A 23791-nucleotide genomic window follows, 5' to 3' on the forward strand; every position below is an offset into this window, starting at 1 on the left:
AGTAGGGTGCTAATAAATAAAGTTGCACCCATTTGCCAAACATGCATTTTAAGTTAATTTATGCCAAAAAGAATAAGTGAATAATTCAACTAAAATGTGACTAAAAATTAAAAATAAGCATTGCCTCTATAAAATACATTTGATTAAGTTATAACATTTCAAATTGAATTATATTTATTTCATACTGTTCTTAATGTGCTGAAAGTTACCAAATAGTCTTTAATTAACACTTATTTTAATAAAATATTTTAGTCTGGGCAACACAGTGAGATTTTGCCTCTACAAAAGTTAAAAAAACAAAAAAAATAGCTGATTGTGGTGGTGCTCCTGTAGTTCCAGCTACTCAGGAAGCTGAGGAGAAAGAATTGCTTTAGCCCAGGAGTTTGAGGTTGCAGTGCACTATGATTGCACCTCTGCACTCCAGCCTGGGCAACAGAGCAAGACCCTGTGTCTATAAAATAATATAGACAGAGAGATAAATAGATGTATGTGTGTGTGCATACACATATATATGTACATATATTGTAATTGCCTTAAAATGTTACTTAAAATTAGGTAAACATGAGGCCGTATTCTGCTCTCATTATCAATTGCTACCTCAATGTTTCAGTGTCTCTGATACAAGTTAGCATTATTGATGCAAGAAAAAAAATACAGAGAAGCTGATCTTTTTATGTCAAGCTGTGAAAAATGTCATAAGGAAATTTAGAATTACTACAATAAATTTAAAAGGCTTTTGATAAGAAAACTGTATTAAATGTAAAACTAAGTACTTATTTTCACATAAACAATAGCCAGTGTTACTGGAACATTCCTGGGGAGGAGTTATTCCAGAGTTCACAAGTATAAAAAATTTTCTTGACCTAGCTAATTTATGTCAGATAAAAGCGCAAGAGTACAATTTGCTTCCTACAGCACGTAATTATATAATAAATATGCTCTGGGTAAAATAAATAAGATAACAGTGCATATTTCTCTTATTAATACAGGAAAAATACCTTCAATCCATAGGTTTCAAAACCACATGATTTAAAAATAAGAGATATTTCTTGGATAATCCCGCTGTTAAAATTTGACTGTTGATTCATAAATTTAAAGCCAATGCTTTAGAATACTTTTTTTTAAAATCACCCCATTAATTATTGTTTATTTCCTTCCAACAGATTATCCCATAAGACTGCAAGGCATGCAATCATAAAGGTAAGCAGTTTGATAACTTCTCTTCACAAAATAAGTTTGCTGCTTTCATTACAAGTTTGACTTTTTAAATTTAAATAGACACTGTCATTTCAGATTAAGAACAGGAGGAGAAATTGAGACTTATGTATATGAGATTTGGATTCTTGAAAATAATTTTAGCTAATACTATTTAAAAAGTATAGATAGATTTCTGTTTAACTTACGGTTCCAGATATCCATCAATAAATGACTTACTCCCTTGTATTATAGGACATTTCTTTTTGCTTGTAAAGATTTTAAGATGTGAAAGTTCACAGGAAAAAAATAAATCAAATTATGTACAAATATTTATTGTGTACCTATTATATACCAAATACTATCATAAACAATAGAGATACAGCAAACAACATTCTAACTCTCTAGTTTTTCAAAACATGTTTTTCATATCAAAATATCAATGTGCCAAAAACAAATGAACAATCATTGCAATTTATTTTTGATAAATAGAAAACAGTCATACAATACTGCCACTTCTTAGGGAAGAAAAGCAGTGTTGTCAATAGAGATTAGCAATGGCATTTATACAAGAGTAGTCTGAGAATCAGGAGGAGAACCAGGATGAAACTGTGTCAGAGGATTGCAAGGAGAAATAAATTTTCAGATGTAGAGAGTAGTCAACAATTTCAACAGAAATGAGTTCATTGTCTTTGTCAACCACAGAGTCATCTGAGTCTGTTATCAGAGCAATGAGGGAACTTGTGAAAGATGGCAATGATTTAAAGAGTGAAAAGAGTCAGTGGGTATAGATTACTTGTTCAACCTTGGTGGCAATAGGAAAGGTGGAGAGGACAATGGGATCCACGAAAGAGAGCAATTTGTTTATAGTTTTATTTTTTAGTATAGAGGAGAAATGAGAATTTTTGTAGCTTTAGGAGGAGGCTTACTGAACAGAGAGAGAGAAAAAAAACCATACACAATGGTTTCAACAGCATAGGAATAAGGTTTAGATTTGAAAGGACCGTTTCTCAATGACTGAAAAATGGAAGTAGATGAAAATGGGTATACACAAAGGTAATAGCCAACATTAGGCCAGTGACAGTAGCTCACACCTGTAATCCCAGCACTTTGGGAGGCCAATGTGGGTGGAACACCTGAGGTCAGTGGTTCGAGATCAGCCTGGTCAACATGGTGAAACCCCGTCTCTACTAAAAATACAAAAAAAACTAGCCAGGCTTGGTGGCAGGCACCTGTAATCCCAGCTACTCGGGAGGCTGAGGCGGGAGAATCGCCAGAACCCAGGAGGTGGAGGTTGCAGTGAGCCGAGATCGTGCTATTGCACTCCAGTCTGGGCAACTAGAGCAAAACTATGTCTCAAAAAAAAAAAAAAAAAAGCCAACATTAATTGAATACACATACACACATGAAGGAGAATGAGTGGCATTGTTCTATGCACTTGCTATGTTGTGATGGGTAACATTAATCCTACTTTACAGATGAGGAAACTAGGACATGCAGTGCTTAATAATTTGCAGAGGTTGCACAAATAGTAAAAAGCAGAGCCACAATTTGAACCCAGGGAATCTTATTTTAGAGTCTAGATTCTTAATCATGATACTCCAATGAACCCAATTAATTCTGCAAGTGGAAGTGAGGCAATTTACTGAATACCTCTATTTTTTGCCTATAAGAAACAAAAAAGACATTCATGAAGAATGATGTGGACAGGTATGAAAGGCGTTTTAAGATGATGGTGAAGGAAATTACGGGATTATATATGTAAATCTGTGTGTTTGTGTGCTTTTTCTCTCATAAAATATCTTTCCTTTGGAATAAGAAGCTAATAAAATGTAAGAGTAATTTTAGGAGATATTTGTTAGAAAGATTCATGTTCTTAAATTCCATGTTTAGGTTGTAGTTTTCATTTCTTATCTGTGAGACTTTCAAAATCAGTATAGATTTTAATGCTTTTAAAACCTCAGAACATATTAGCATTAAAGACTGGACAAGGCATTTTTTCCCCTTTAAGTAAGCAAATGGATGTATTCTACATATAACTTAATACCAATTCAACCTACATATTTTCCTCTAAAAATAATTCACTGGTTTCAGCCTTTGAATATTGCATTAGTTTGTTAGGGCAGCCATAACAAAATACCAGCGATGGGGTTGCTTACGCAACAAAAATGTACTTCCTCACAGTTCTGAAGGCTGCAAATCTAAAACCAAGGTGTTGGCAAGTGTGATTTCTTCTGAGGCTTCAATCTCCCTTTTTTTTTTTTTTTTGGTTGGGGGGGAATGGAGTCTCTCTCTGTCGCCCGGGCTGGAGTGCAATGGCATAGTCTTGGCTCACTGCAACCTCCGCCTCCCATGTTCAAGCGATTCACCTGCCTCAGCCTCCTGAGTAGCTGGGATTACAGGCACCTGCCATCATGCCCTGCTAATTTTCATGTTTTTGTAGAGACAGGGTTTCACCATGGTGGCCAGGCTGGTCTTGAACTCCTGACCTCTGTTGATCCACCTGCCTCTGCCTCCCAAAGTGCTGGGACTACAGGCATGAGCCACCACGCCCGGCCAGGCCTCTCTCTTTTTCTTGCAGAGGGCTGCCTTCTTGTGCCCTCACAGAGTTCTCCCTGGGTCTGTGTTGCCTGTGTCCTAATTTGCTGCTATTAGAAGGATACTAGTCATATTAGATTAGAGTCCACCCATTATGACCTCATTTTACCTTAATTACCTTGCTAAAGGCCCTATTTCCACATACACTCATGTGCGGAGGTACTGAGAACTAGAACTTCAATATATCAATTTAGAGGACTATAATTCAGCTCATAACAATTTTTTTAAAAAGCCCTTAAGTTTCTGTTCATCTGTCTGGTCAACGCCAAAGTGGAATTATTTCTAGAGCAGGTTTTATACTTTCCTCTTCTTAACATCTTTATCATTCTGAAATTTCAATGAACTAATGTACATTAATGAACTAATGATGTACATTTAAATACTAATATTCATTGTTTTTTACCAGTACGTAGCGAATGAAGTTAAAACATAATGAGTACATTTAGTGTTTTGGGAATCAAGGAAGAACAAATTAAATCAACCCCTCCGTACTGTAACTTGGTCAGAATGTGGTGGCTCGGGTTTCCGTTAGGAGCCAGAGCAGTCAGTTTCAACGACCCCTTTATTATGAATTTGGTAAATACGTAAGTTAAACATTGAAGAACTGGAGAAACTGGTGCCTGAGCATAAGGGCTAGAATGTGGAATCAAACCCACCAAGATCCCACCTGGGTTTTCTCAGACCCTAAAGCAAGCTTCTCCAACACACAGCCTGTGGGCCACATGCAGCCCAGGATGGCTCTGAATACGACCCAACACAAATTGGTAAACTTTTTATGAGGTTTGTTTATTTATTTATTTACTTTTTATTTAATTTACTTATTTATTTATTTAATTTACTTATTTATTTATTTATTTTTTGATCATCAGCTATCGTTAGTGTTAGTAAATTTTAAGTGTGGCCTAAGACAGTTCTTCCAATGTGGCCCAGGGAACCCAAAAGATTGGACACCCTACGTCTGATCCAATAATAAAATCATTCTTACACATACACCTCGTTCCAGGGCCCACTTAAGAGTAAGAAACTTTCCAAGGCCCTAGAGAAAGCTTTCCAGACCCCAGACCCTAAAGATTAGACAGAGATTAAATGAAACACTCCTGCTGGTTCCTGCTGAAACAGCTCCATGCACTCCCACACGTAGGCATGGAGCTTTAAATGTATACGTGCACCGGAGAAAAACTTGTGACTTTGAGTTGGTCTTAAGTTGGCCCAACCTTCTTGCGGGTTGCAGAAATAAGCTCCCTTTTTTCCCAGTTGGTCTGCATCTCGTTATTGGACTTTGAGAAAAAGCGGCTGGGTGGGCCACATTAGTATGGGAACAAAAAGAGCAATAAACTCTCTCCAGTGGCTACTTCAGACTGAATTAAGATTTATTTTACCTTTACAATGAAATAACTGCTGACTGCCCCTTGGACCTGTTTATCTGGCAGGCACTGTGGTAAGCATAGCATTGTCATTCTTTTCATTAATCCTCATTAATTGATGCTATTTTCCACCTAATTTTAGTAGAGCTTAAGAACATTGCATCATCATGAGTGATGCACTTGGATTCAAATCTAAGTCTCACTATTCCCAAAGCCCATATTTTAACCTTAACAGGCTTACCACATATCTCTAGGTGTCAATGAACATTACGTTTGTGAGGAGTGAGCTAATGTGACCCAGGTCTCATCACAAAATGAGTAAGACGAACCTCTAAAAACCTAATTTTGTGATGCCATAGGCAAGAAAAAGTGTGAATATTATTTGTATATCTTTAAATATGATTTACACTTTCTAACAGAAAATACTAACAGTCCCACAATCATGCAAATTATGCTATTGATTTTGTGGGACTTAAAAGGCAGTGCTGTGTGAAATGGTTTGCTGCATTAAATATATTTGTAAAGCTAAGCAATGTGGGGTATAAGTCACAGGAAAATGAAACTCCCTAAAAGTAGCTCTGTCAGCATTATTGAACAAAGTTGTTAACACATTCATGATGGGTACCAAAGGAAAATTTAATATGGCTTACAGCAGATGTTTTCCATGTGACTATGTTTTGCTAGTATTATATATAAATTGCATTATTTCAGACTTTCCAAATGAAGAGTGCCGAAGAAACACTGAATCACATATTCCCATAACACTTAGCATATATTAAATACACAGTAAATATTTGCAGAACAAATGAAATAAAGAGAAAAGAAGGAATAAATAAATGAGCATCATCTATTAATTCATTCACAGCTAAAGTCAAAAGAGTAATAATTTATATTAAGAAATAATACTTTCATATCAGTGAAATGAAACACTCCATTATTGTCAATAAAAAATAAATAAATCTCATTTCTATGTATTTCTAAACCTGATGCAGAGTACTTCTGTTAAAGAGATGAGTGCAAGGAATACTATTACTTATAAAATGATAGCGCTTTTAATATTTGTCTTAAATGAGACTAAGCTGACACTGTTCTTGGTAGATACTAAATGAATATTTGGCAAATTGAATTAAATAAGAATAAAAATGATAATTTAACGAAAAAAAGACTATAGGGAGGTAATAATTTCAGATTTCAATGGTATTTTGTGCAAAAATATTATACTACTTGGCAACTAATTGGGATTCTTTCTCCTCTATCATAGATATTAAAAACACTAAGTTTAAGCAAAGCTCATCTTTTGTTGGGATGATTCAAATCACGTTTCTATCTTTACTACCAAATAAATTATTTTTTCATGGAACTCAACACTAAAGAAAAAAAGGAGTACTTCCTGTGCACTCACCAAGTAAAGTAAACAGTCATATAGATGAGATTCATGTGCTATGCCTAAGAAATTTCATGAATGGGAGAAACAAGAAAGGCATGTGTGGATGTAACTATATGCCACATTCTGAAGTCTCTTCTATTTTAAGAACATATTTGTCATCAGATGATTTTTATGTAAGATGCATGTTTGTTGTCTTAATATTATTTTCAGAAAATATTAATAACCTTAAAATATTAACAACTGTAAAACAGTTACGTGTTTCATCCTTATGGTTATTTGTCAGAGCTCATTATAATGCGACAGAATGGGCATTTAGGACCATCTACTCTGTGAGGCTTCTTTCATCATCCCTGCTGGAGGAGACTTCACTTTACTATGTGTGCTGTATAATTCTGTCTATATTCGTACCACACTGGTATCACACTAACTTGTGGTTATTTCTGCTGCTAAGATTTTCTCTCCTACTTTGTACATTCCATGAGATCAAGAATCTCAACTTTCAGAGAGCATATGATTCCTTCCTTTGATGAATATGCATTGATTACTTATTAAGTCCCAGGAACTCTGTGGCCAGGGTCAGACTGTCCCAAAGGCATTTGGAACAATAGTCAACAGAGTGTCCTGGACACTTGCCTTGGGCTGGGCTGCAGGTATACTGATGAGCAAGGCACAGTTTCTGTGCTTATACAGCAGAGAAGCTATTAGGGAATAAAAAAATAAAAGAAAAATAACAATATTGTAATAAGGTTAGGTGCAAATCATTTGTGGGAACTGGAAGACACACTTTTCTCTAGCTTGAGAGTATTGCGTGTGTGTGTGTGTGTGTGTGTGCGTGCACCTTGTAGGTGAAAGAAAGAGCTAAACTGAACCTGAAGTATATAGCATGTGAACCAAGTGAAATATAAGCAAGGAAACAGTACACTCAATGTTTAACCTGAGACAAGAGACAGAATGGCCCAACCAATACACTGCAATTGTTTAGCAGAGTAGATACGTAATAAATCTGATTTAGAATGTTTACTTCAGATATACATTTCAGAAAATATGAGCCTGATTCTTCCTTATATCTGAATCTGAGTAGCTCATATATGCAAATTACACAGAAAGAAAACCCTTCATTAGAGTACGTGTAGAAAACAGTCCTTGCTTTACACTTCCTGCAGTTTAAATAAATAAATCTTTTGTCATTAATACCTATTCAGAATGGCAGACTACGCTGATGCAAAAGTAATTGCGGGCTTTGACATTACTTTCTTTTTCTTTCTCCTTTTTTTTAAACCTTAATTTACAAAGAACACACGCATTCCAAGGAGGATCCCATTAAGAACAGCAGACTGGGGAGAACAATAGGAGGGTTATTGAACACTGGTCTGTGTATCCCAGATGAGGGATCACTGGGAATGTTTTCTCAGATATGACTTTTCACCTTCAAAGGAAAAGAGATCTTGACCTGGAGGCCCAACCACCTACAAGGCAGAAAACTCCACACACAATCTTCAGCATCATCAAACTATCCTGTTTCAAAGACCATCTTGGAATAATGGGTTATCAGTTGAGGTGGATAGTGCCACCTGGGGTCATAGATCATGTCTCCTTTTGGGGCACAGCTGACCCAAGGTTTGAGATCTTGAGAAACGCTCCCCTGGATGTCGTCAGCATCATATGGATTTCCTTGATCTGCTTTCAACTCCAAGTCCCAGTCTTCATTAAAAAGATTGCCAGGCTGTTCCTTGGGTGGACAGTTTGTCCCTTCTCTCAGCTCCCAGGTATTCCATCCGAGTCCTCCGCATTTACAGCAAATCTTCAGAATGGGTGCCTTCACTCCGGGCTGGACTGTCATTAGAGACACTCTGTGCTCCCCGGGCTAGTCGATCCATAGCCTTCTCAGTCTCTCTCTCCTGACAGGAGTGGTCAGCTGTAGCAAAGCCAGCCTCCGGGCTAGGGGATGCCTTCCATGCGCTAGGCAGCAGCCGACCCCGAAACAGCTCCGCGGCCCCCTGCGCCTGGGCCCTGGCAGACTGAGGGGTCCATGCCGGGCTGCCCGCGGCTTGCCCCCCTGGATGTTGTGGGCTACGTGACGCGCCTTTACTTTCAATGGCAAAGCCCGCAGTTACTTTTGCACCAACCGAATACATACCAATATCAGTCTAAAATGTTGCTACTTTTCAAATTTTCTCCCTTTCATTCTGAATATATATTTTAATAATACCAATGAGGATAAATCAGAGAGTGAGAAAAAAATGACGGAATCTATAAAATAGGTTATAAGTAAATGTCTCATGCTACATGAGAGGTATTTAATCAATTACTGAATATGGCTTCTATGTACAAATGCATGGCTCATGCCATCTGGGTGAAAAATTACTTAAAAAATTATGTTTCTTTTTTACTAATTTTGAAATCAATGTTCATCTTCTCATTGAACTCTGTTCTCTAATGCTGGCAGAAAAAGATGGTTAATGTAGATGTCTTTCGAATGGTGACTAAATTAATCTAATTTGTCTGTATTATTTATCAGACTAATAGGTACAACCAAGAGGCATTTTCACAGACACTTGCTGTTCCAGGCCTAAGCAATCCTGTCACCCTAAGCATGCAGGACACCATCAAATAACCTGCCTTGCCAGTTCATCTTACAACGTCTAGCCCATCCGAATCCCAGTTTTGTGAATAAAACAAAAATAGAGAAGTTTTTGCCATTTTCAGATATTCATAGATTACAGATACATTTTGTTTTTAGCTATCATTCTACACATACTCATATACATTTCTATTATTCTGAAGGCTGAAAAGGGATGAGGCAAAAGAAACATTAAAATGTGCTTTATTACATGATATAGACATTCTTGTATTTCTAATGCATACTTATTTACCAACATCCCTTTTTATATTTTTAGTTTTTAGGCTCTGATTGTCTCTATAATGGCATGCTAGCTAAGGTAAATTATAATCTGGGCCCAAGATGCGAGGGGTTGGAGACAGAGAAGTGTTTGGATCTTTGGAAAATCAAATGCTTCTAACAATAGGAACATATTCTGTCATCTTGATTACATCCCTTTCTATTGTCTTTTCATCTCTACCCCCTTATTTTTGCTACTCATACATGCATATTCTATTGTTAAAGCATGCATCCCTTCTGTCATGTAATTTTAAAAAATCTCCTATAGTGTCCATAGCATGTATCAGTCATGTGCAAATATTCAAAAAACACTGTGAGATGAGTGGAGAACTCTGGAATCCTAACTCCTTCTCATTTCCCTAAGGAGAGGGACCCTCTACTTTCTTCATTCACAGTATTTGAAAGTTTGAAGAAAGCAAGTACACCTGTTCTTCAAAATATATGTATGCTATGGTTGTCATTTTACATGCTGGCTAGATTCTATTAATTTATAGTTATGAATAGTTTTCAGAAAATGGATCAGTAAAGAGAAATAAAGATAAAGACTCAAAATTGTTTGTGCCAATTTATTACTAAGTCCTAGGCCTTGTTCCAACCAGCATTTATTAACTTGTTGAGTCTTATCATGCTTCTAATTTTGCTATTAACATAATCCTTATTTCTAAAAGGGAAAACTGAGGCAAGGAGAAGTTGAATAATTTGCCTAAAGACACAGCTTGTAACTGGTGAACAGGAGAAGACAGGCTGGGTTCAATCTAGATAAACATCCTGAATCTACAATCTTTGCTTTTAACCAATATTCTGTAGTTAAAACTTTCACATAGAGGTTCATATTCCCTTCCCTGACGAACAGTTCTGTTCAACCAAACAAACAATATCAGTCAAAGAATTGCTTTTACTCTGCAAATGAAGCTTTCAGACAAGTCCCCTAAAACTTAATTATATAGCTGACACATAGTGAATTCATAATAAAATCACTTTTTAAAATTATCTACTAAGCAACAACTTCTATTTTTGATTAGAAGAGGTGCAGAAAAGACTATATCCAATGGATCCTGTCTAGAACCACTTAACATATCTTTGGGGAGATCTTATAGATAAAAATAAAACAAAAGGCAAGCATGTAGTAGGCAGCAAATAAGGAAGTGATAAAGATATTCAGCACACATGACAAGTTCTGAACGGTTTTAAAAGAGGGAAATCACTGTGGGCTGCAGCGCAAAAAAGACTGAACTTCATGGTGTGAAGGGATTTGAACTAAATTTTATAGATGCTCCAAAATATAGACCACTGGGAAGGCCATAAAGTCCTTTCCATTCTAGATTAGTTACAGGAGTAAACATGTGGTTAAGAAAGAACATGTTTTTAAGATAAAAAGGATGTGAGTAGGACTAGAGGACAGGGTGGATTTAAGGTAGTAGGGAGATTTGTGGTGAGATGGATTAACTAGTTGGACATCACATAAAATCTGGAGAGGAGGTAAATGCTTTACAATTTGAGATGCAGAAAATATAAATCAGTGTTTTAGGAACTAACTCAATTAAGTGTTGTTCATGATATATAGAAAACTCCAGAAACTCAAGGCAGGGAAAGCAAATAGAAGGCTAGCAATCATTCAGTAATAAATGAATGAAAACCTGGCCTATAATGGTGAAGATTGATAAGAAAAGTAGTTAGTGAATAAATGGCTCAGGGGATACAGGAGAAGGGAGAGTGAAAATAAAAATTTAAAATAATAATCATTATTATAAAATAATAATAGTGAGGTTGGATCCTGACTGGGAAGAAAAGTAATACTTTTATTGATGAAAATAGGAGGGGTTCCAATTTGAGGTGGGAAAATGACTTCAGTATGTAAATTGTGAGTTGGCATTTACATACAACAGGAATGTTTCATAAATGGACACTGGTCCATTTGTGATGAGGTAAATTAGGAAATGTGGACTTGGTGACATAATAAATAATGAGGGTCTCAGTATAAATCATTATAATGATTGAGCTCTCTAAGAAGGAAAATATGTCCATCGATAGGAAGGAAGTTTCTATGGGAACAGCATATGTAGAGTCAGAAACAGGAAATATAGAAGGTAACATTTTATAGTATAGGAAAGTGGTAGGAACAGCACTAAATGCCTTATCTTTTGGTCCAAGTTTGGTATTAAAAAAAATGGAATGTGGTCATCACAGAATTAAATGAAGTATGTTGTGAGAAATGCAGAATAATGATTACAGGATGCAGGTAAAGAAAAAAGGAGACTAACTGATATGATAGAGTAGGCCAGATGTGATGTAAACAGATTTTGCTCAAATAGAAGGAACACTAAGTTCAAGGACGTTGGGTAGAGCAGTGACATAGAGTGATGAGATCCAAAGTCATCCGGAAAGATTTCTGAGAGAAGAGGAAAAGTAGAAGGAAGACCATTGGGCTTAAATTGCCCAAGGAAATGGAAAGGAATCATGGGATGTAGTTACAGGAGGGAATGGGTAACACAGGTTTCTCTACATGTCCCTGACATGCTTTTACATATCAGTGAAGTACAGGACTATACATTGTAAATTCTACTTTATAAAAATCTTAAAAAGTTAATAAGGTTTAGACAGCTAAAAGTATTCAATTGAATATGGCAAGAATGACAATCTAAGCCACATAGTATGCTATCCTAGGCGTTGCAAATAAGGCTAACTGGGAAAAGATTTGGCATATAATCTCATCTTTAATTATGTCCCTCTTAAAGTTATGTAATTAAAACTCAACTAAGAAAAAAATCTGTAAATGGATTTCTGTCCTGAGAAACTGATATCCACATGATTTTTTTTTTAGTACAAGTTCTTTTAATATACTCTTTCTCTCTCTCTCTCAGTATTTTTAACCAGATATCCTGAAAAGCTCACAATAGTAGGTTGAATATGTAAATAAAACTTCTTTATTTCTGGTAAAGCTTGTTTATTCTTGCATATAAGTCTAAAAACCCAAGACTTTCATATACCTTTTAGTAGGTATATAAAATTGAAATATTTTGCTTTTTCAAACAATAACAGGAAACTTCACTCCTGCAAATTATAATCATCTTTCAAGGGGAACCCTGAATTCACTTGTGCCCTTGCTCATTTCCACAGGTGATCTACTGTTTTCTTAGAAATTTTGAATTCATCACCCAGCCCCTCAAAGATCTATTTATAATTCACAGTATATTGATTTCATCTGCTCACTTCCTGCCATAAATCTCTCACAAGGAAAGTTATAATATGTACACTGTCTTTTATTACTTCCTATGAAAAATGCTGCTTCTAATCCTACATCATGGATTGTTTTCCCTTAGTTGTCACTTACAACTTACCTCATTCAAGTCAAAACTATAAAAAAAAAATCAGCCAATTGTTTTTTTACACAGAAACATGGGGTTATTTAAAGTGGCTTCATAGCAACTAATTATGACACACTTGTGAGAAAAAAAAATCAGCATTATTTGAGCTACACATGTAAACACTTATACTCTTGAAGGTAACAGAATCAACCCAATGTCATTAAATCTATTGACCCCTTTATAGTTTTGTTATTTCTTTTCCCTATTAAATAATCCTTTCCCATCTCATTTTATCTCTTCACCATCACATATAGATTGATTTATAGCTCATGGATAAACCACATGTGATTATCATAATCTACTATTGGTTTTCAAGGAATATAACAGATAAAACAAAAAAAAGAAAATGAGTTTTACAAAGTGAGGCCATAGTTTAATGTATTATTTAGGAGCTTCTGGAAATAGGATAATAACCTATCCACTGCATGGATTGCAGAAGGTACACATTCTTCCCCTCCATATATGTTTGCAGCCCATTTTCAGCTCTTCCCAATCAGTAAGTGAGTCTGTTTCTCTATCCTTGAATCTGAACTTGGTCATGTGACTTGCCAGTGAGACATTAGCAGTTGCTGTGCAAGCAGAGACTTATAAAATATCTTCACATATTGAGCCAGTTCTCATGTGGAACCCTGAGACCATCTCAAGGCATCCTACTGGATAATTACAGACTTGTGGCCTGGTTACTCAGCATATAGTCTGCCAACTGCCAGGCATATGAGAGAGGCCATCTTGATCATCCAGCACCATCTGACCCACCAGCTGGTTACAGAAATTTGAAGAGCTAACACAGATGAGAAGAGCTACATAGTCAGCCCACAAATAGTAGAATAAATAAGCAGTTGTTTTAAGTCACTGAATTCTGGAATGGTTTGTTTTGTAACCAAAGTTAATTGATATCATCTAATCTTTGAAGTCCTAGACTATGAATTAAAATAAAACATATTTAATTAAATTTAAAATGGCATTCAGTACAGTGTTAAAGCAAACTAAATATGGCCTGAGAAGAACTTCATATTCTATATATGAGTCCCTGTAGACGAACTGCAACCTAACTTCATAGGTAGAGAAGATTGAAAACCTAATTTAGGAGTATGCACCTATAACAATAGCTGAGTCTTGTCCAATCCCAGTGGCCATATTTCAAACATCCATACACTGCTGAGTGTTCAAACTGTGTTCAAATAAGGCAAATGCCAATCTGTAACCAGTCCAGCTATTCTGTACCTCACTTCCAATTTCTGCATGTCATTTCCCTTTTTTTGTCTATAAATGTTCTTCCACCACGTGGCTGCACTGGAGTCTCTTTGAATCTGCTGTGATTCTGGGGGCTGCCCAATTTGTGAATCGTTCATTGCTCAATTAAACTCCCTTAAAATTAACTTGGGTGAAGTTTTTCTTTTAACAACAGAAATAACTCTGGTCAAGAATTAGGAACCTCAGTATCCCCAGCCTCCTTCACCTATACAGAGCTTACTTGGCAGTGATCTAATATTGGGACGCTAATTCATATATGAATCACTATTCCCAAGTCCACCCAGCATCTCTATCTTGTGATGGATGTGTCAGTTTTCCAGTTCTCCTTCTGTTCATCCTTCTATCCATTCCTAATCAGCCTCACTAACTATAATAATTCCAGAGCCAACCACAGGTTTCTAGTAAAGTTCAAGTTTTATAACAAAGATTGGCTATAACTCTCTTTCACACGGATATAACTCAGGACTTTCTGATTCTGCAAACAGAAACCTTGTTAGAATTTCTAACATGATGTACTGGGGCAGTCTCCCAAGCCTGAACACCTATGCAGAAAACTTTTCAGCTTTATGTCTTGTTATGGTTTTAATTCTCAATATAAAACTTTCCATCCCAAAATATACATCATTGACATAGGATTATTCTGAGTTGAAAGCAATTGAGAAACAATAGACACAGGAAAAGCTCATCCATCTAAAGAATATCAGAGCATAAATTTCCCTTCTTAAAGGTGTCCCCCTCTCTCAGACCTGAAAAAAAAACCTTTATCACCAGAGAAGAAGAAAGCACCGAGAAGAATCCACACAAACAAAACCTTACAAAATAACCATTATCTTCCATTAATTTACAGCATGCATTTATCTTCCCATAATTTACAGCCTGTACAATCTCCAACCCCTTTCCTTTGTCTAGTAAGGTCTCCACAATTTCTCATGCTTTGTTAAAAGGGCATATCACTCTTCCGGGTCTAACCTCTTCTTCGGGTCTTTACTTCAGGTCTTTACTTTTTTTTTTCAATGAATGGCTCCTTGTACATGCAAAGATTAACATCAAAGAAAATTCATATGCTTTTTCTCTTATTAACCTTTCTTTTGTCAGTTTAATTCACAGATCTCAGCCACAGAAGCTAAGAGAATAGAAGAAATGATTTTTCTTCCCCTACATCTACCACAGGACATCTTTTGAGATAGACTCAGGAAATTTTGAATTCATGGAAGCCAGACTGAAACTAATTTATAGCTTGCAACAAAATGAAGAGGAGATTTCATATTTTTTTTCCTTTTCACTAATCATGACTGACTCCAGGTTCTACTCTCCATAATCAATGACCATGTAACCCTTTCTCTTCCTTTGGACCATAAAAATTAACCTATGCTTCCCATCTTGCTAACTCCCTATGGACAACTTCATCTTTTATTTTTACCCTTTTCCTATCTTAGCAACTTCAGTACCTAATAAAACAATGCTCCATTAGACCTTTCCAGTAGTTGTAATTATCTAAATAGGTAATCTTAAAATTGATTTAGCTAATAAATGTAGATGACTAAAAGTATCCTTTTCAGTTTTATGAAAACTGAAACTTGAAAAGCTAAAATTTTTACATTTTGAGAACGAATGTCTGTATTCTATGATCAAATTAAAACTATATGCATTCTAAAAGTTGATTTTTTAGCCTTTTTAAGACAAAAAAAGAACAATTAACAAAATCAAATGTGTTTTGAAACACTCCTAAACAATAAGCACATAGCCCTTTTAACAGAAGAGAGAAACATATTTCCAGTGAAATATAACTTAAAAGTGAAATATTGGCAGGGCGCGGTGGCTCACGCCTGTAATACTAGCACTTTGGGAGGCCAAGGCGAGTGGATCACCTGAGGTTGGGAGTTCAAGACCAGCCTGACCAACATGGAGAAACCCCGTCTCTACTAAAAATACAAAATTAGTCAGGCGTGGAGGCACATGCCTATAATCCCAGCTACTTGGAAGGCTGAGGCAGGAGAATCACTTGAACCTGGAAGGCGGAGGTTGTGGTTAGCCAAGCCAACATCATGCAATCCAGGCTGGATTGCAATCCAGCCTGGGCAACGAGAGCAAAAACTCCACCTCAAAAAAAAAAAAAAAAAGTGAAGTATTGCTATCAGGAGTCTTGAAAAAGCAATCTAAAAATATTATAAAGCTATTATTCACAAGTTTGAATCCTAATCACAAATGTGGGAATTATATCTCATTGCAATTTGTTGACAGTATCAAGCTGGAGATTAAACAAAAGTCAATGTCTATAAATATAAAGAGAAAAGAAGGGCAGATAGCAGGCACCTATCATGTCATTCAACATGGTTGCTAATGCAATTAAATTCCAAACATGCATATGTATGAGATTTGACCAATTAATTTACTAATGGTATCTATGTTAATATTGAAAAGTGATTATTTTGAAAGTTATTTATTTATACTTTATTAAATGTTTTAGATGTATAGAATAGTAGAGAGAATATGACTTGAGAAACCTTACCATTTTGCTATAAATGCTTCATATTATTAAGAACAATCTTATTATAGCTATTGTTGAAAGTATATAGTTCTCTCAATACCATTTCTTTTTTTCTTTTATCTCTCCAGAGAAAGCAAGATGTTGATGGTGTATGATTTTTAATGTGCTTAATTTTTAAATTTTGAACTAATTTTAGGCTTACAGAAAAGTTTCAAAAATTAGTACAGGGAGTTGCCTTCTGTTTCTAATGAAAACGCCTCACGTAATGATTATATAATTATCAAAAAATTGCTAAAATTTGAAAATATTACTATGTTATTTCAAAAACAATATGTTGTATTGTTTACATAGTTTTCAATATCACATCAACCATATCATTTGAGAATATTTTTATTGTGTTGTATTATTTGTTTTAATCAAATTGTGTTTAAGATAACTATGTAAATAGATGTAGCACTAGTTCTTTTTTTAAGTACTGCACAATGAACCATTATTCTCTCTAAAAGTGTGAATTGCTAGGTGAAAGTATATGAACCATTTCAAAATTTCAAAATGTTACAAATAGCTCTTCAGAGTAGTTGTACAAAATTGTAATTTTCATCAATTGTGTGTGAAAGTCTGGTTTTTTCTCATTACAAAACTTTTAAAAACTTTTCACAAATTATGGGTGGAAAAATCTCACTGTTTCATTATAAATTTTCTTAATAGTTGGAGAGATTGACTATACTTTAGTATGATTATATTTCCTTTTCTGTCCCCTAGCATAACTTGTCCATATTTATCTTCATCTCTGTAATGGTATGTTATAAACTTCAGTTGTAATCCTTTGTTGGTTTTAAGGATTGCAACTATACACCACTAGTGTTTTGTTTTGTCTTTTAAATTTCTACATAGCTTCTGCTGCAAAGAGTTTTTAATTTCAATGAGATAAAATATACTAAACTTATACTTCCTGATTTTTGTGTATCATTTGTGAAATCTGTTCTTACCCTGAGTTTATAAAGATATTCTGTATTCTTTGATATTAAAAAGCTCATCATATTTGCACCATTAAAATACTTGAATTTTTGAATATAGTTTGAGTTGGAGATAACATTTTGTTTCATTTTTTGCATATAAATTGTTCTAGTATAATTCATTAAATTCATTATTTTTCAATTTATTTGTAATGCTAACTAGGCAATGTATAATCAATTTACATAAAAGTTATATATAAATATGGATCTGCCTCTGAGCCCTCTGTTCTTTTTCATTTAATTGTTTTTTATTGGTAATATCATATTGTGTTAATTACTTTCACTTTTTAATAATAAAGACAATTGTGTCAAGGAGAGACTACAAATTTATATTTCTTTAAAATTGCCTTGGCAATTGGTGATATTTTGCTCTTCTATGTGAATTCTACTATCAACATGTGCAGTTTCATTAAAATATCATTTTGGCTGCTTTTTGTTTGTTTTTAGAAACAGGGTCTCACTCTGTCACCCAGGCTAGAGTGCAGTGGTGCAATCATAGCTCACTATGGCCTCAAAACCCTGGACTCAAGAGATCCTCCCACCTCAGCCTTCGAAGGATCTAGAACAACAGGTGTGTGCCACCACACTGAGACATTTTGGCATTTTGAATTGCATTAAATTTACAGATAATTTGGGATAATTTTCCATGGCTATGGAAATTGACTTTTTGCATCATGAAAGTAACACTCTCCCCCTTTAAGATTATCTTTTATGTCCTTCATAAACATTTTAAAATTTTCTATGTTAATGTTTTGTGAATACTTTGTTGTTATTACTAGCTTAAGAATAGCTTTTTTAAGATCACATTACTTTTTTTGGGGTGGGTGGCGGGGGGGCGTGGAGAGTCACACTCTGTCACCCAGGCTGGAGTATGGTGGTGCAATCTTGGCTCACTGCAACCTCTGCCTCCTAGGTTCAACTGATTCTCATATCTCAGCCTCCTGAGTAGCTGGAATTGCAGGCATACGACAACATGCCCAGCTAATTTTTGTATTTTTAGTAAAGACAGGGTTTTGCCATTTTGGCCAGGCTAGTCTCGAACTCCTGGCCTCAAGTGATCCACCCACCTCAGCTCCCCAGAGTGCCGGGATTACAGGCATGAGCCACCGCTCCAGGCCTAATCACATTTCTCGATTAGTCATTGGATGTAGGGACACCATTTGAATTTATATTAAGCAATATTTGCTTTTTTTAAAAAATATGCTATGTTTAGTTAAAACAAAACATCAGAATGCATCCCACTAAATAAGCATATTCTTTGGTAAAACAGAAACATATATACTTAGCTACAGTGTAAAATGTGAAATTTGTTAACTTAGATTACAGGCATTTAAGGACACTAGTTTAAGTTTGAAGCTGTTAAGTTCCTTACGCCATTACTTTATATTTTTTTAATTAGTGGGAATACATAGATATATTGTTACTGACTTTATATTCCTAAAACAAATGTTATTTCCCTCCATCTTTAATAATTCAGTTATAGAATTATGTATTTCCTTAGTAGTCTGAAGATTTTACTCTTGTTGCTGATGAGAAGTCTGTTTAAATACCATTGTCTTCCTTCTGCAGATAGTGTCTACTACTTCTGGTAGCATCTTAAGATTTTCCCTTTTTCATGATCTTCTGCAGTTTTACTTCAATTGCTGACTTAATTTAATTATTCTTAACGCTTACAGCAAATTTCCCATCTAGAGACATTTCTTTCTTCATTTCTAGTAAACTCTGTGTCATTATCACTTTGAGTATTACTTTTCTATCATCTGTCTCTTCTTTGCCATTTGTCAACATTTATTAGCTAAAAGACTATTAAATCTATTAGTTTATCCTCCAAGTTTCACAAGTGTTCTCATGTTTTTTGTATCTTACTGCCTCTAACATTAATTAATTTCTTATTAATGAATTAGCATCTTATTTATGCATTATCACTTTCACTAGTACAATATAATTTTTATTTTATCAATAAAGATTACTTTTTAATTTTAATTATAGTGATCATATTTTTTTATTTCCAAGATATTCAATTGTTTTAATTTTAACAAATTTTTTTCTTACATATGTATATTTGGCCTCCTGGATGTCCCTATTTCTTGTTCTTTTCATACTTTTTTTTTCTTTGCTTCTTTGATGAACCCCAAGTAAATATTCTTCAGATTCTCCTATCATTTTCATTTTCATTCATCTTCTGCTTGGTGGGGTTTTTTAAGCTGTCTTTCTTAAGAATCCATGTGTTGTGGAAATTGAATTTGAGCATCCTAAAGGGGTTATTTTTTAACCTCTCTTTTAGTACTCACTTCTCTCTACTGGGTGGTTTTAGAGTGGACTTCATTGAGCCTCTGCGTCTTAAACTGCAGCCCTCTCTTTCATAATTCATTTGAGTTTTTGCTCCACAGAGCATATGAGAGCTTGTAGAGTCAATAACTTGCAATGGACTTGCATCAGAGCTGGTCATAAGGCAGTTTCTGTGGCCTCTAAGCTTCTAGGGTTAGTCACTTCCTACAAGTCATTGGCCTAACAGTAGATGGCACAGCTTTATTTCAGGCTTGCTTCCCTGTGGGGCAGTATTCCCCAGTCCTTGGATTAAGTAAATTCTTTTTAGATGCTGTCTCTCTGTAGCATCTATGTAGCCTGGAATCTCAGAATTCTGTTTCAGTCATTTTCTCTGCTTTGTATTTCTGTTCTGTTTATCACTCAAAGAAAAGTCTATCTTGCTTTTTGAGATTAGCTATCTCTAATTTTCATTTTAAATATATTTTATAAATCGTTACTGTGGTTTTAAAGTCAGAAATGGCCTAAAAGTGTAGACTTTTAACAGTGTCTTCACCAGGTATCTTGATTCTTCATAGGAAAAGTGAACTACTGCATTTTCCTCTTTTTATACTGTGAACTTCCAAAGGGTAGAAGGAAGACATTTTCATCCTTATTCGCTCATACCTAATAATCTATGGCACACTGTAAGCACTTAATAAATATTGAATTGTATTTTATGGCTATTGTCATCTTTTAAACCTGAGGCCAAAATGTTCATTCTATGTGAATTGGGAAGTTAAAGAAGAAAGCCTTTATCCCATCCATTTCTTATATTCAGCTATATGAAGGATCAAAGTCTGAATCTGATAGTGAAATTTAGAACTCTCTGATATTTTTAACACCTAAAAATATGAATCTAGTTAAATACTTAAAACATGAATACTTAAAAACATGAAAATAATTTTGGGTAACAAGTTAGAGATATAACAAAAGAACATATAGTTTTTCAGATTTAATAAAATGGAATACCTAGATGGAAACACATTTTACATCTTACTTATATTTATTTATATGTGCCAATAACTGGGTGTTTTGAGGGTTTTAGTTTTGATTTGTTTTGTCTGTTTTCTTTTTTGGTCTGGCAAGTTAAACTATACATTCACCTAAAAAGCTTTCAGAGAGGATTGCAATGGTTAAGCAAAGGGCAACTTCTTGGCAGGAGGTGGGGTGTGGTAGGGAGGATATTCAGAAAGATTCGTATAAACTATCAATACAGACTAATTATATTTTTTAAGTTTTAGTCAGACCTTAATGCACTACTTTATATCTATAATTATTGTAATTATTTCTGATTGTCTAACTACTCTAATTCATATGCTAAAAATAATTTAAGACAAAAATCATTGTCCTCAATCAGAGGTTGCCAACCCCTGGACCACAGATGAGTACTGGTCCATGGCTTGTTAGGAGCCAGGAGGAATAGCAGGAGGTGAGCAGCAGGTGACTCAGCATTATCATGTGAGCTCCACCTGCTGTCAGATCAGCAATGGCATTAGAGTTTCATACGAGCGCAAACCCTATTATGAGGGATCCAGATTGTGTGCTCCTTTTGAGAATCTAACTATTACCTGATGATCTGAGGTGGAACAGTTTCATCCCAAAACCATCCCCTGCCTTCGTCCATGAAAAAATTATCTTCCATCAAACCAGTTCTTGTTGTTCAAAAGGTTGAGGACCACTGTCCTAAATGATCCACAAATGTGTCACAAATACAGTACAATAATTTTATATTAAAATCATGCTTATTTATATATTCTTTAGATACACTTTCTCATAAAATTTTCATAGAAAATGTATGGGTTGATTTTCCATTTTGTAGGTAAGGAAATAAACACATAGAAGTACAGAGGAAACAAACAGCAAACTGTGATTTGAACCCTGGGCTCGACCGATGTTTCAAACTCTTGGCCATCATGTTTCACTTCCCTACATATGTTTCAACACTTCCCTACAGTCAGTAAAGTGTCATGGATTCTACTGGCTTTGATTTTGGATGACAGAATTAGAGTGATTTGATTGTATGTATACTTTAATTAAAATGTTTTCAGTTTAATTTACTACGGTTGAAACAGGATCTAAAATATGACAAAACCTCCTAGGGCATCTTTGCCTTCAGACACGGCACTCACAACCCTTACAGTTCATCAGACCTAAACATAACACTGAGTGATCTCATGAAATATAAATCCTACTTTTAATACTCTATTATATGAATATATATATACATATATATGTATTAGCATTACAACACTCTCGTTTTTTTCATCATCTTATCTTGGATATTTGTACACCAATGTTCATTGCAGCATTAATCATAATAGCCAATTGTAGAAACAACCCAAGTGTCCTTAAACAAATGACTGGATAAAAATATGTGGTATGTACATACAGTGAAATATTATTCAGCCATAAAAAGAATGAAGTTCCAATATATGCTATATCATGGATGCACCTTGAAAACACTATGCTAAGTGAAACAAGCCAGGCGCAAAGGACAAATACATGATGATTCCACTTATATGAAATATCTAGAATTAGAAAATTCATAGAGACAGAAAATATCCATTACCAAGGGCCAGGGAAAGGGGGAAATGGGGAGATATTGCCTTACACAGAGTTTCTATTTGAAGTGATGAAAAAGTTTTAGAAATATAGTGTTGATGGCTGCAAAATACTGGAAATGTAATAAAAGCCACTGAATTGTACACTTAAAAATGGGTAAAATCTCAAATGTTATTTTATATATGTGGATATACATGTATATTTGCCCCAATTTTAAAAATTATAATGAAATATACCAAAAAAGATTGAGTGTACACTTTTTGGTGCATTGTATGATGTGTAAACTATACCTAAATAAAATGGTTTTTTTTTTTAAGCTGCTTATTTTGGCAGACCAAGACATTCAACATCACGTCATTCCCTACTTCATCTCACATCAATTCATGCCATACTACCTGCATTTCAATCATACCAAATGACTCCTTGTCTACTCCATGCTTTTCATGTCTTTGTACTAAACATTTTCTGAATGCTTAGCCCAGAAGAGTAATTTTCAGTCTTTTTGATCTGAGGATCTTTATACTCTTAATCATTACTGAAGACTCCAGAGTCTGTGTATGTGGGTCATGTCTATATCTATTTACCATATTAGAAATTTAAACTTAAATTGTTTTAAATATTTATCAATGTTTTTAAAGTTAGAATAATGCAACAATTGCGTTCATCTAAATAGCACCTTCTAAGAAAAGTAACTATTTCTTCAAAAATAATAACAAGAAATAATAACAAGAAATCATTGTTTTACAATGTTACAAATATATTTAATATCCATCTTACTAAAAGACAGCTGGATTCTCCTATCTGCCTCTTTATCCTCTCATTGTGTTGTTTTGGTTGAAGCATATGAAGAGCTTCCAGCCTCCCGAAGTTGTGTAATTGGAAAAGAGAGGAGCGTTTTAATAATAGCCTTTACAGATAACTGAGTATTCTTTCATATTACACCAACACGTGACAAGTGGTGGTTACTTAAAGGTTAGTTGCAGTGTGGAATCTGAAACCATAGTGATGAACTTTTCATCCTCTATTACATTAAAATTCATTGGTCTATCTTGCACTTTGAATAAATCATTTACTCATGCATGATTTTATCATGTCATTTGAAAATATTGGTTCTCTAACTTATGCATAGCTTCTAAATGTTGACACATTTTATTATGCAATACTCCCAAATCACATGCATTAATATTATCACCATGTCAACAGAAAAGCCTGTAAGTACTGGGAAGCTGTCAAGGTTACTGTGGTGGATACAAGACTTCTACTCTAATTTTTTTACTTCAGAGTTTGGTTTTTACCATTTGCAACACACACAGTAGGTAATTTACCTTGAAGTGACACACTCATTGTATTCATTCTT

The 23791-nt window shown here is 34.9% G+C and overlaps 1 protein-coding gene and 1 pseudogene across 4 annotated transcripts in view; both read right to left on the reverse strand.

Moving 5' to 3' along the window:
• LRP1B (LDL receptor related protein 1B) overlaps positions 1 to 23791 on the reverse strand; it is a 1899594-nt gene that overhangs the window by 443902 nt on the left and 1431901 nt on the right. The gene's annotated exons all lie outside the window — the stretch shown is intronic.
• Positions 7838 to 8619, reverse strand: COPRSP1 (COPRS pseudogene 1; annotated as a pseudogene).

This window comes from Homo sapiens, chromosome 2 (genome assembly GCF_000001405.40).
Source record: "Homo sapiens chromosome 2, GRCh38.p14 Primary Assembly".
Taxonomy (NCBI): Eukaryota; Metazoa; Chordata; class Mammalia; order Primates; family Hominidae; genus Homo; species Homo sapiens.